The following is a 13062-nucleotide window of genomic DNA, read 5'->3' as shown; positions in this document are numbered from 1 at the left end:
CCGGGTCACAGTTGAGAGCTTCTGCCATTGGACCCCTGCCTGACTTCAGCCTGGCCCCCCTTCTGCTGGTATTACAACACCCGGTTTTAATTATCAGTCTCCTTATCTGTCACTTTCATTAGACTTTGGGCTTCTTGGGTGGGCCTGTGTCCTGAGGACACTTCTGTCTTGCAAAGAGAAGTCCACACAGGTTTAATGACTTCCCTAGAGGCCTACTCTCTTGGCCCAGAATAGGCAGATTAATATTTGTTGGCTAAATGAATAATGCGAGTGAATCGTGCAAAGATGGGAGCCATCACTGTGTCCTCTCCTAGGCACAGTACCACCTGATGCTGCACATCCAGATGCAGCTGTGTGAGCTCTCGCTGTGGGATTGGATAGTCGAGAGAAACAAGCGGGGCCGGGAGTATGTGGACGAGTCTGCCTGTGAGTACCATCTGGGTCTGCCGGGCCGGGAAATAGACACAGTCACACCTTCCCCATCTCATGTAGGAGTTGCCTCCAGGTGCTTTTTTTCATTTTTATTTTTTATTTATTTTATTTTTTTGAGACAGAGCTTTGCTCTGTTTGTTGCTCAGGCAGGAGTGCAGTTGTACACCCACTGCTTACTATAGCCTTGGCCTCCCTGGCTCAAGCGATCCTCCCACCTCAGCCTCCTGAGTAGCTGGGACTACAGGTGCATGCCACTATGTCTGGCTGATTTTGAAAAACAAAATTTTGTAGAGACAGGGTCTCATTATCCTGCCCAGGCTGGTCTCCAACTCCTGATCTCAAGCAATCCTCCTGTCCTCTCCTCCCAAAGTGCTGAGATTATAGGCGTGAGCGTCTGCACCTGGCCAGAATGTTTTCTTTATCAATTTTTGTGTTAGTCCTGTAAAACCTCTCCATCCTCTAAATGTATGTCATCATATTAATAGATGAATTAATTTACTTACATTTTTTGGGCCATATGCTGTGTCATTTTTGGAAAGTGAGGCATTCCAGATGATTGAATCATATTCCTGGAGCTAACATATTTTATCTTTTTTCTTATTCCATTATTTGTAATAATATCTTTAATCCACTGTGGGCTAGGATACCAGATTTATTAGCATTAAATCCCAGAATGTCAAGGGTTCAAGGGAACTTAAACTTTATCGACTCTAGTTGCCTGATACCCGAGAATTATTTAAAAAGTCATTAATACAGGGGAGGGCTGTGATTGAAGTTAGAGGTACTTTGTTTCTGGTTGACAAAGTCCATCAACTGTTGGGTGCTGGTTTGTGATGGTTTCTTTGCCAGCTGAGGAAGCCTTCCTGCTTATTTCTAGGTTTTAGACCATTCTGCAGCATTGACTTTGTTGAAAATCTAGATTGTTCTTAAGTGTCAGATGTTAATGTATTTAGAATGACATTAATATTTAGATGCCCATGTAATGAGTAAAAAAATTAGAGAAATAAAACTATTTTTTTTTACTTCAAGGTCCTTATGTTATGGCCAATGTTGCAACAAAAATTTTTCAAGAATTGGTAGAAGGTGTGTTTTACATACATAACATGGGAATTGTGCACCGAGATCTGAAGGTAAGTGGGGGCGATGAAATCATTGAAAGCAGTGGGAGCTTTGTATCAGGGACGACTTGATGTTGGTTGATTAAACTAAATAAGATTACATGTCCTAGTTCATTTGCTTAGGAGGTTATAATTACTGTCAGATAAGTCATTGTTCGATAGATCCAGAGTATGGAAACATTAGGTCGAATTTTTTTTTTTTTTTGAGACAGCATTTCGCTCTGTCACCCACGTTGGAGCGCAGTGGCACGATTACAGCTCACTGCAGCCTCCAACTCCCAGGCTCAAGCGATCCTCCCACCTCAGCCTCCCTAGTAGCTGAGACTACAGGCATGTGCTACCATGCCCAGCTAATTTTTAAATTTTTTTTTGTAGAGATGGAGTTTTACTATGTTGCCCAGGTTGATCTTGAACTCCTGGGCTCAAGTGATCCTCCCATCTTGACCTCCCAAAGTGCTGGGGTTACAGGTGTGAGCCACTGCACTTGGTTATAAGTTGAATTTTAAAGTAGTAATTTTGGGGCATTTGAAAATCCTCTGTGGAGTATAAGTACTTTTTTTCAGGTGCTCTGAGTACTGCTATAATCAGGGGTGCTAAATGTATTTAGTGCTGACAGAAATGCTCATTTATTATTGCAGACTTAGAGGTAAACTCTATTTCTATAATTATTCATCTTAAAGTTTAACAAAATCGGAAGTTTTTTTGCTGTTTTAGAAAAGTCTATAATGACTATTTGATTTTTATCCACAAAAGGCTATCAAGAAAGAGAGAAAATATATTTGTGTCTTTGGCTGAAGAGATTTAAATTAATTTGCTTACTTTTCAGCCCAAAGTTAAATCATGGAAAGGGCATGAAAAAAAAAAAAACCTAGGAACAAAAATGTTAATAGACAAATCACTTTGTATTTTGGAACATGTTCAAGAATCAGTAGTTTGTACATTTGGGATGTCACAGGTGATAGGTGAAGCATTTTCTGGGACATGTCTAGCCAGAAAATGCAGTTTGAGTGGCTGAAAGTCCCTCTGCTGTGAAACTGGGAGGTCTTATTTCAAGAGGTATATGCCAAGTCATAACAGCAGTAGACAGAATTCCATATTGTCACTGGGAGGAATTGCTTCAAGTGCTGTTTGTATTTCTCACCATAAATATTCCTGATGTTTCTTTTGCAGATACCCTGTAGGGATAAAGGTTTTTGCGATTGCTTTATTAGGGTGTCCCTTAAGAGGCGGAATTCTGGTAGCATGATTCCTGCAGGTAGAATTCCTTGGTTATTGGTCATTCTCAGAGGATAAGTGTGATAAAGTAGCCTGGCCAGAAGTGCCGTATCTCTTACATTGCAACTGCGCTGAAGGTACATATAAATTGGAGATTCCCCGTTTCTTGTTAAAATGTTAACATTTGCTTCAAATTCAAGCAGGAGATTGATGATTGCCTCTCTGCCTCCAAAGCATGCCTCATGGATGGCTGTTTGGCCCTTGTAGTCCTGGGCGTTGACTTTGGCTCCGTGAGTGAGTAGCAGACGGATGCAGCTGACCCCCGCCCCGAGGAGTCGGCCTGCTTTGCTTGATGCAGTGCACACTGCAAGCTTCAGGGGCGTGTTCCCCGTGGAAGAGACAGCACAGTTGACGTTTGCTCCATAGGCAATGAGCGTTTCCATCATCTCCTTATTCAGCATGTTTGCGGCCATGTGAAGGGGTGTCATGCTGGCTTCATTAATAGCATTGACATCGGCACCATTTTGGGTCAAAATGGAGAGAACTGGATAGCAACCATATGCTATGGCCAGGTGGAGTGGTGAACGTTTGTTGCTGATTTCCCCTTGAGTGTTCACTTGAGCTCCGTGCGCACACAAGATGCGGAGACATGTGATGCTGCTATTCTGAATGTCTGTCAGGATCCTGTGCGTTCTGTTGCCTGGTTTTGCCCACGTGGTGGAAGTGACTGGCCAGTGCAGTAGCATTAAGTTGAGTGTGGTGAGGCCTGTCGTGTCCCTAGAATGGGTATTGATTACACGTTACACTGAATTCACAGTGGGAACGGCTCTACGTGGACAGTTAATGCTTAAGAAGCCAGTATTTATTTAAAGTAAGACCCTTCAATTACCTTAAGGACGTGTTTCAAAATCTGTATCGCTGGGTAGTTTCTCAGGCTATCCCAGGGTTTTTCGTGGGATGTGGTGGGATGCATCACTACGTGATGGGGCCTAGCTTCATTTTATGTATATATAATTTTTTTTTTTGAAAAATTATTTTCACTTTTATACAATGTTGTGAAGAAGGCCCAGCTTCTTGGAGCAGCCTGTTTTACCTGTGCCGTCCCCGCTAGGGCTGTGTCCCTTCAAGGCTGTATCTTAGTGATTTCTGCAGTCTGGCACCTCACACAGTGCTGGGCTGGGTTACTGGCTTTCTGTGAAATTGTGTGGACTTGAGTGTGATCTGTTATTGCCACAGAAGTGAGCCGTGAAGGCCCGAACTCCCGTTGACTCCTTTCTTAGAGGCTCTGTCTCTGCTCTCCTACCCGACATTTTTCTGCGTGAGTGTGTAGGGAGCAGAAGTGACAGGGGTTGAATCTGAAGACCTGTGGTCATTCCGAAGTTCATTCCCTGCTCCAGGCCAGGTGGAATGGGCATTTTACAACTTGGCCCTCATCTCAGAAGCGCTTTCAAAAATTCCTTTGTTTTGGCAGAGCAAAAGGAAGGTTTATTATGTAAATCTAACTGCTCTGCTGAAATTAGAAAATGATTTTAGTTCACATAGATTTGTTTAGCGTGAGGCCCTAGGCTATGGATATGGTGAAACAGCAGGTGGCCCCTACCTTTGTAGGGCTTATAGTCTAGCAGGGAAGATAGACGTGAAACAGTGAAACAGCTCAGTAAATAGTGGAAGCCGGCAGAGTTCTAGAGAGGTGCAGAAGCCTCACATAGTGCATGCAGTATGCAGGGTAGGAAAGGGTCCCCTAAGGAGAATGGGGCGAGTCTGTGATGGTTGAGATGTGGAAGGGACTTCCAGAGGACTTGCAGAGCTGGGGTGGGGTGCTCAGGGAGAGGCTGGGAGCAAGACAGGTCAGGTGGGTTCTTCTGGAGCATGGTAAGGATTTGGGGCAAGAAGTTCTATTATTATTATTATTTTGAGATGGAGTCTTGCTCTGTCGCCCAGGCTGGAGTGTGGTGGCGTGATTTTGGCTCACTGCAACTGCTGCCTCACGGGTTCAAGCGATTCTCCTGCCTCAGCCTCCCGAGTAGCTGGGACTACAGGCGCCCGCCACCACGCCTGGCTAGTTTTTGTATTTTTAGTAGAGATGAGGTTTCACCAGGCTGGTCTCGAACTCCTGACCTCATGATCCACCCACCTCAGCCTCCCATGGTGCTGGGATTACAGGCGTGAGCCACCGCGCCCGGCCTATACTACTTAATTCTTTCATTCACTCGGATAGTATTACTGAGCACGTGCTAAGTGTCAGGCATTGATTTGGTTGAGGTGCTGGAGATACAGTGGTGCACAAGGTCAACTTCTCTTTCATGCGGCTTACCTTCTAGTGGAGAGTAATAAACAAGAAAATCCATTGTCGGCCAGGCACGGCGGCTCACGCCTGTAATCCCAGCACTTTGGGAGGCTGAGGTGGACGGATCACGAGGTCAGGAGATTGAGACTATCCTGGCTAACATGGTGAAACCCCATCTCTACTAAAAATACAAAAAATTAGCCAGGCGTGGTGGCAGGCGCCTGTAGTCCCAGCTACTTGGGAGGCTGAGGCAGGAGAATGGCGTGAACCCAGGAGAATGGTGCCACTGCACTCCAGCCTGGGCGACAGAGCGAGACTCTGTCTCAAAAAACAAAAACCAAAAATAAAGAAAATCCATTGTCTACCTATATTTTATTTTTCACACCTAACTTTGGTGGTTAAACTTATTGAAGGCCATGGCAAGGACTTTACTGCATTCCTCACAACACCACCATTGAGCTCTTAATCCTCAGAATGTGCATTAATTTGGCAAAATATTTATGATGTTGCATTTTTCTCAGTTTTTCAGAGTATCTCATCTACTCAGTAAAGACATTGGTTCATTCATAAGAACGAACAAGTCCAAACATAAGTGGAAAAAATGTATGAACTGAAAAAAAAATCTATATCAGGTATATCCTCACTTAGAAATGATTGTCAGTGAAGCTGGGTGCTGTGGCTGAGGGCTGTTAATCCCAGCACTTTGGGAGGCCGAGGCAGGTGGATCACTTGAGGCCAGGAGTTCAAGACCAGCCTGGCCAACATGGTGAAACCCTGTCTCTACTAAAAATACAAATGTTAGCTGGGCATGGTGACGCACACCTGTAATCCCAGCTACTCGGGAGGCTGAGGTGGGAGAAGCTCTTGAACCCAGGAAGTAGAGGTTGCAGTGAGGCGAGATTGTGCCATTGCACTCCAGCCTGGGCAACAGAGCGAGACCCCTGCCTCAAAACAAAAAAGAAAAAAAAAGAAATGATTTTCGGTGGAGTTAACTTACCTGACTTCTGGGTCAGCACCGTGCCGTAACAGGCAGAGCAGACTCTGGGCCTTGTGGTACTTGGCAGCCAGATGGATGGGGATGATAGACTCTGTCGGCTTTGGAGGGAAAACAAAACACATTACAAGTGGCCCTGTGTAGTTAAAAATACTGTTTGTGTTAGCTTGCCGTTTCAAAGGCAATACATTTATTTAGTGTCTCATTGGCTCACTCTTTTTCTGGTATGTGCATTGAAAGTTTCCTTTCTACTACCTGTTTTAAATGATCAAAATTCAGTGAATTCCATCCTATAAAATCTGTGTTTCACAGAAATGCACATTTACTGAGGCAACAGAAATAACACTCAAAAGCTTTGGAAATTTTTGAAAGTTGATTCTTCAGAAGAGCCTGTGGTGTGATATTAAGGGTACTTGCTATGAAGTCACTTATTCCTTAAATTAACCCACAGGGTGATGGACAAGTAGGTGCTGTGTCGTTGCCAAAGTCGTATTATCAGCAGTAAAACCTGAATCTTCAGGGTTTTCAAATATAACGCAGCATATGTTCTGTCTATGATTAGCAGAGCTGTTTGTGCCAGCTCTTAAAATACACACGTGTAAGTAGTGGTTTCACACCGTGGCTGCAAGATAAGACAGTAGGGTACAAGGGAGGGTGACTTCCTTTTTGAATTTAATTGTAAAAGTAATAATCATTGTATAAAAATTTAGAAAATGAAAATGTATATATTAAAAAGGGAAAAACTATTTTTTGTTTGTTTGTTTGAGATGGAGTCTTGCTCTGTCATCCAGGCTAGAGAGTGCAGTGGTACGATCTTGGCTCACTGCAACCTCTGCCTCCTGGGTTCAAGCAATTCTCCTGCCTCAGCCGTCCGAGTAGCTGAGATTACAGGCTCCTGCCACCAAGCCCGGCTAATTTTTGTATTTTTAGTAGAGACGGGGTTTTGCCCTGCTGGCCAGGCTGGTCTCGAACTCCTGACCTCAGGTGATCCACCCACCTCAGCCTTCCAAAGTGCTGGGATTACAGGCATGAGCTACTGCGTCTGGCCAAAAAAGGGAAAAACTAATTTGACCACATGGAGATCATCACTGTGGGTATGTTTGAGAGATGACATGAATGGTCTTCCAGTCACACAGGGTCTGGTGTTTTCTCATGTTGGTTTGTGTGTGACATGTGTAGGGGAGGCTTTGCAGGCTTTGGGGAGCACTGCAGTGTGTGTGGAGTGAGCTGGAGTCGTGTCTCATTCTCATAAGGGCCGTGAGCTTAGTGGGTTCACCAGCTTTAGATCATGCTTCTTTCTAAGCAGCCTGACTTTTTTCCAGAAGTGACTGAGCAGAAAAGAGGGTACCTGGGTCAGAAGTAATCTGTTGCTGGCGGAGTTGGGCAGAATGGTGATGGGCTGGTTGACAGGGTGATTTCTCAGGAGTACCTCGATCGTAGTGCAGTCTTCTCTCATGATGGCTTCATAGAGTTTCGAGTGAAGTGCTGCAGATGGGCCATCTTCCAGGGACTTGGCACTGTCAACCACCAGGTCTCTGCTTCCTTTCCTGGTTATATTCCCCATGAGAAAAACTTAAGACTTCAGGGGAAAATGTTGTTATGGAATTGGTCAGTTTCAGTCTCTTTGTGATGATTCTTTCAGTTCAGTTCTAGAACTGTTCTAGAATTTGTCGAGAATTGGATCTGTGAAGGCAATCCATCAGTTTGGAACCAAGCGTCCAGACTTTGTTCCTTGATCATAGAATGTCAAATGTCAGCAGTTTTTAGGGTTTTCTACTCTATCATAAAAACATATTCAAGCTATCATCTTACACCTTTATTTCTGATTTCTCTCCAGTTCAAGTGTAGCTGAAACAATGATCAAAGCTAAAACAGAGGAATTTATACATTAAAATACAAAGTTAAAATTATTACTTTTAAAGTAAGAAAACTTTTAACCTTAAGTTATTTTTTAGTTTTTATTATAATAGAATCTTCCCTCTCCCCATTATGGGTTCAGTTTTTCTCCGGCATAGGAATAGTTTGGGAGATGTTTTGGGTCTGTACTCTTTGCTTAAATAAAGCCATTTAGTGTGATCTATTAGTTCCCAACCCTGGCTAATACATATGAGTTATCTGGGAGCTTTTAAAAAATATCAAAGTTGGCTGGGTGCGGTCGCTCATGCCTGTAATCCCAGCACTTTGAGAGGCCAGGGCGGGCAGAACATGAGGTCAAGAGATCAAGACCATACTGGCCAACATGGTGAAACCCTGTCGCTACTAAAAATACAAAAAGTAGCTGGCTGTGGTGGCGTGCGCCTGTAGTCCCAGCTACTCAGGAGGTTGAGGCAGGAGAATTGTTTGAACCTGAGAGGTGGAGGTTACAGTGAGCCGAGATGGCACCACTGCACTCCAGCCTGGCGACACAGCAAGACTCTGTCTTAAAGAAAAAAATCAGTTTTTTCGTAGTGCGAGAAACATGCTCACCCGTCCAAACCCAAAGAGTGAACTTAGAGGCACAAAGAACAGTGAAAGTGAGACTTTTAATAGCCCTCTTGCAAGGTCACGTGTCTGGTAGGCAGGTACACCCAGGGCAGTTACAACAGGTGATTTATCTCCTAGCATGCAAGACCCTACCTCAGTTCCTCACTGGTCAAGGACTACAGGGTTACGATCTTCCCGGACGTCGCCTAAGTTGCATTATCCCCTTAGAAGGTTATACCCTGGTCCCTTTCCCGCTTAAGTTTGGATTTCCCAGTAATGAAACTTTCTTCCCTTTTATGGGCTGACTCCTCTACATCCTGTTCACTTATTGTGATCTTCCAGGTGGATGAGCCATGTGGTTTGTTACATTTGCAGGCTGGCTGCCGGTGCTTAGATTTATCATGCCTTGAAAAAGCCATTTAAAATGTTTTCTCACACATAGAAAATCACGTCTCTGGACTCGACAGGACAGTCGTTTCTTTTCTTTTCTTTTTTTTGAGACAGAGTCTCACTCTGTTTCCCAGGCTGGAGTGCAGTGATGCGATCTCGTCTCACTGCAACCTCTGCCTCCCAGGTTCAAGCAATTCTGCCTCAGCCTCCCGAGTAGCTGGGATTACAGGCATGCACCACCACACCTGGCTAATTTTTGTATTTTTAGTAGAGATGGGGTTTCACCATGTTGGCCAGCCTGGTCTTGAACTCCTGACCTCAGGCGATTTGCCCGCCTCAGCCTCCTAAAGTGCTGAGATTACAGGTGTGAGCCACCGTGCCCGGCCGAGGACAGTCATTTCTAAGAGCTTCTTGGGTAATGATGTGCAGTAAGGGTTGGGAAGCACTTGTGTACAAAGCATGCTCTACATTAATATTCTCCAAATTTAGAATAGCCTTGGGACTTTTAATAATACTGATGCTTGCGTTCACCCGCAGGAGTTCTGATGCAGCTGGCCTGGGGAATGGTTGAATGTTGAGGTTTTTTTTTTTTTGAGACAGGGTTTTGCTCTTGTTGCCCAGGCTGGAGTGCAATGCCACAATCTTGGTTCACTGCAGCCTCTGACTCCTGGGTTCAAGCCATTCTTCTGCCTCAGTCTCCCTAGTAGCAGGGATTACAGGCACGTGCCACCACACCTAATTTTGTATTTTTTAGAGACGGTTTTTCACCATGTTGGCCATGCTTGTCTTGAACTCCTGACCTCAGGTGATCCGCCTGCCTCAGTCTCCCAAAGTGCTGGGATTACAGGCATGAGCCACTGCACCCGGCCAGATGTTGAGATTTTTAAAACTCCTGGATGATTCTGATGTGTAGGCAAATTTGGGAACTATTCCTCAAATATTTAACTTTTGAGGGGCTGCTTGCTCCTGAGTTCCAAACACTTAAAAACATTTACAAGATATTACTATTTGTTTTAAGAAAGCCAAGGAGTTGACTTGTTTTGTTTGTTGATAGCCAAGAAATATTTTTCTTCATGGCCCTGATCAGCAAGTAAAAATAGGAGACTTTGGTCTGGCCTGCACAGACATCCTACAGAAGAACACAGACTGGACCAACAGAAACGGGAAGAGTAAGTTTTTGGTTTTGTTTTGTTTTCTTTGCATAAGCAAAAGACATGGTTGCACATGTTAGTATTTAAAGAGAATCATAAAGATTTAATAGCAAAGGTAAGATAAAGATACAAAGCAACTGTTGTTCTCTTAGGAGCTACACTGCTTCCTCATAGTAAATGTTCTTTAATGTTGACAGCGCTAACTGCAATGTTTAATATGTGGCTTTTGAAATGATAGGAACACCAACACATACGTCCAGAGTGGGTACTTGTCTGTACGCTTCACCCGAACAGTTGGAAGGATCTGAGTATGATGCCAAGGTAGTATTTGTTGCTTTCTGCCCTTTCATTCAACTTATTCTGCAGTCTTAAATAACAATACAGGGTTGGGTGCAGTGGCTCACGCCTGTAATCCCAGCACTTTGGGAGGCCGAGGTGGGTGGATCACCGGAGGTCAGGAGTTCAAGACCAGCCTGGTCAACATGGTGAAACCTGGTCTCTACTAAAAATACAAAAATTATCTGGGTGCGATGGCACATGCCTGTAGTCCCAGCTACTCTGGAGGCTGAGGCATGAGAATCATTTGAATCTGGGAGGCAGAGGTTGCAGTGAGCCGAGGTTGCACCATTGCACTCCATCCTGGATGACAAGAGCAAAACTCCATCTCAAAAAAAAAAAAAACAAACAGTACAATGAAATGCAGAAGCTCTGTCATAGAGATGTTTTTGGAGATAACTGAGTACTGTAGATAATTAACTGGATCAAACTGTCCTAAGAAGAAACCTCACTTTTCAGTAGACTCTGTGTTGCCTACTTTACCATTTCAAAATCCACAGATGTCACAATTTTTTTGTTTGTTCATTTGTTGTTTTTGAGACAGGGTCTTGCTCTGTTGCCCAGGTTGGATTGCAGTGGTGTCATCATAGCTCATGGCAGCCTCCAACTCCTGGGCTCAAGTGATCCTCCCACCTCAGCCTCCCATGTAACTGTGACTTCAAGAGTTGTGCTACCACACCCAGCTAATAAAAAAAATTATTTGTAGAGATGGGTCTTGCTTTGTCCAGGTTGGTCTCAAACTCCTGGCCTCAAATGATTCTCCTCCCTTGGCCTCCCAAAGTGCTGGGATTAAGGCATGAACCTCTGCGCCTGGCCTAAATCGATTTTGAAATGAGCTTTCCCTTTAAAACATCACTGTTCACCTCAGGAAGCTAGAATTCATGGAAGCCTGTTTTCAGCCTTTCTTCTCATTGGTTTTTTTCAAGCTTTGGTAAATAAACACCAAGGGGAAGCCTGCCCCTTGACTCCCCTTGAAATAGAACGAACATGCTGTAAAGTTTGAATCTCCCTTGTTCCTGGAAGAAATGCTAAAATCCATTTTTCAAAACAACAGGCTAGTAAAATTTTCTTCCTTTTGATGGCGCATTGAGCTTTTTAGTGATTAGGAAAGAGCTGTCAGAAAAAATGATGGCTGCCCCTAAAATCTTGTTTAGTGAAGACCTTCCTAAAAAATCTGTTTTTAGGAGTAGTATCACAGATTTTATGCAGTTTGTTAAATGTCACCAAGGACACTTGGTAAGAATGAGTGGAGGCAGAGGTGAGACCGGAGGAGAACCCGCGACCTTCTGTGGCTCCCCCGCAGCTGACACTAGCAGGCGTGAGCTCACATCATTGCCTGGGTCAGGCCTGGATTGTTAAGGGGTGCTGAAGACAGTTGTATGGTCGTGACTGCTGTGGGTGGGGATTATCCCTGCCCTCCACCTGACCATCCATTCTGCGTGCCCACGGATGCCCCTTTTTGAGGTTGTGAAAGTCCCTGTCACTGATGAGCTATCCTGCTCTGTTCCCTTCCTTGTGGGTGACCGTATATCCTCATTCTTAGAAACCCTCTCCTGTTTGGAGGGTGGAACACGGAAATGGAAACGTTCTTCTAACTTTGTATTTCACTACTGAGTTCCCCTTTTTTTCTTTTTCCAGTCAGATATGTACAGCTTGGGTGTGGTCCTGCTAGAGCTCTTTCAGCCGTTTGGAACAGAAATGGAGCGAGCAGAAGTTCTAACAGGTTTAAGAACTGGTCAGTTGCCGGAATCCCTCCGTAAAAGGTGTCCAGTGCAAGCCAAGTATATCCAGCACTTAACGAGAAGGAACTCATCGCAGAGACCATCTGCCATTCAGCTGCTGCAGAGTGAACTTTTCCAAAATTCTGGAAATGTATGTGCTTTTCTTTCTCTTGGTCCTGGAGTGAAGGTGGTTTTTATTGCCTCTCTTGGGGAAGGAAGCGGTTGGGTGGTGCCCCCGGAGGCTGGGGCTGGAAGAGCCAGATGATGGTTCTGGAGGCGGGGCCTGTTTGTTCTCGTCCACTTCCTGGCACTCAGCTGCAGGGTGTGCTGGCAGGACTCACTCCCCTTGGGGTAGCAGCTGTGGCCTCAGCAGGCACAGGAGGTATCTGCTGGTGTTCACAAAGAGGAGCGGAGGGCTGGGGGCCAACCCCACAGCGAAGGCCGGTAGGAAACTTCCTGGGGCCTGGTGGGTGAGACTCCTTCCCGGAAAGGCCGGAGGGGCCCGCAGGGTTTGCACCTTCTCATGGCTAGGCCTTTAGATGTCCAGGTCAAACTCTGACCCTTCACCACCTGCCTGCTGTTCTGGGCTGTCTGTATGTCTGCCGGGGGCTCATCACTGGCAGGGCTGGTGACCCCGGAAGTGGTGGGCGGGTCCCTCGAGGGTGTTTTGGTCACTGGTGAGTTCAGCACTCTATTGGGAATTTCCAGTTGTACATGATCCTGGTACCTCCCCGGGTAGTGCTGAAGAGTGTGCCCGATGGGGTTGCTGCATTCCCTGCGCAGTACACAGTCATTGGACCACCGGGGAGAGGCAGGGGTGGCCTGGCGTGGGGGTCCGGCTGCAGCTGCTGCCCTGGACATGGTCTCTGTACATGTTTTTTTTTTAAATGCTGAGGAAAATATGAAGCTTAAAATAGAATTTGTTCAAATTGTGAATCCTGGCCAGGCGGGGTGG

The 13062-nt window shown here is 45.2% G+C and overlaps 2 protein-coding genes across 4 annotated transcripts in view, besides 2 other annotated features; one reads left to right on the top strand and one right to left on the bottom strand.

Moving 5' to 3' along the window:
- Positions 1-13062, top strand: part of EIF2AK1 (eukaryotic translation initiation factor 2 alpha kinase 1) — a 36929-nt gene that overhangs the window by 20190 nt on the left and 3677 nt on the right. For all 3 annotated transcript variants that reach the window (NM_001134335.2, NM_014413.4, XM_047420200.1), the window contains 5 exons: positions 315-426; positions 1462-1562; positions 9954-10068; positions 10289-10371; positions 12025-12258. In NM_001134335.2, the coding sequence (NP_001127807.1) occupies positions 315-426; positions 1462-1562; positions 9954-10068; positions 10289-10371; positions 12025-12258 (645 nt within the window). The remainder of the gene's footprint in view (positions 1-314; positions 427-1461; positions 1563-9953; positions 10069-10288; positions 10372-12024; positions 12259-13062) is intronic.
- Positions 2434-7610, bottom strand: ANKRD61 (ankyrin repeat domain 61). The gene is made up of 3 exons (NM_001271700.2): positions 7395-7610; positions 6050-6147; positions 2434-3542 (listed from the first exon to the last, which is right to left on the bottom strand). Exons 1-3 carry the CDS (start codon positions 7608-7610, stop codon positions 2600-2602), a joined length of 1257 nt encoding a protein of 418 aa, NP_001258629.1. The 3' UTR covers positions 2434-2599.
- Positions 12182-12682: an enhancer, noted in NCBI's record as "H3K4me1 hESC enhancer chr7:6065935-6066435 (GRCh37/hg19 assembly coordinates)". NCBI's record gives its function as "activates a minimal SCP1, AML or CMV promoter by ChIP-STARR-seq in naive H9 embryonic stem cells {active_cell/tissue: H9 hESC(naive)}" and the evidence as "EXISTENCE:reporter gene assay evidence [ECO:0000049][PMID:30033119]".
- Positions 12270-12319: an enhancer, noted in NCBI's record as "active region_25616". NCBI's record gives its function as "activates an Ori minimal core promoter by ATAC-STARR-seq in GM12878 lymphoblastoid cells {active_cell/tissue: GM12878}" and the evidence as "EXISTENCE:reporter gene assay evidence [ECO:0000049][PMID:35858748]".

This window comes from Homo sapiens, chromosome 7 (genome assembly GCF_000001405.40).
Source record: "Homo sapiens chromosome 7, GRCh38.p14 Primary Assembly".
In the NCBI taxonomy this organism is placed as follows: Eukaryota; Metazoa; Chordata; class Mammalia; order Primates; family Hominidae; genus Homo; species Homo sapiens.
The sequence above is the reverse complement of the archived record's forward strand: the minus strand, read 5'-3'. Positions and strand labels throughout refer to the sequence as shown.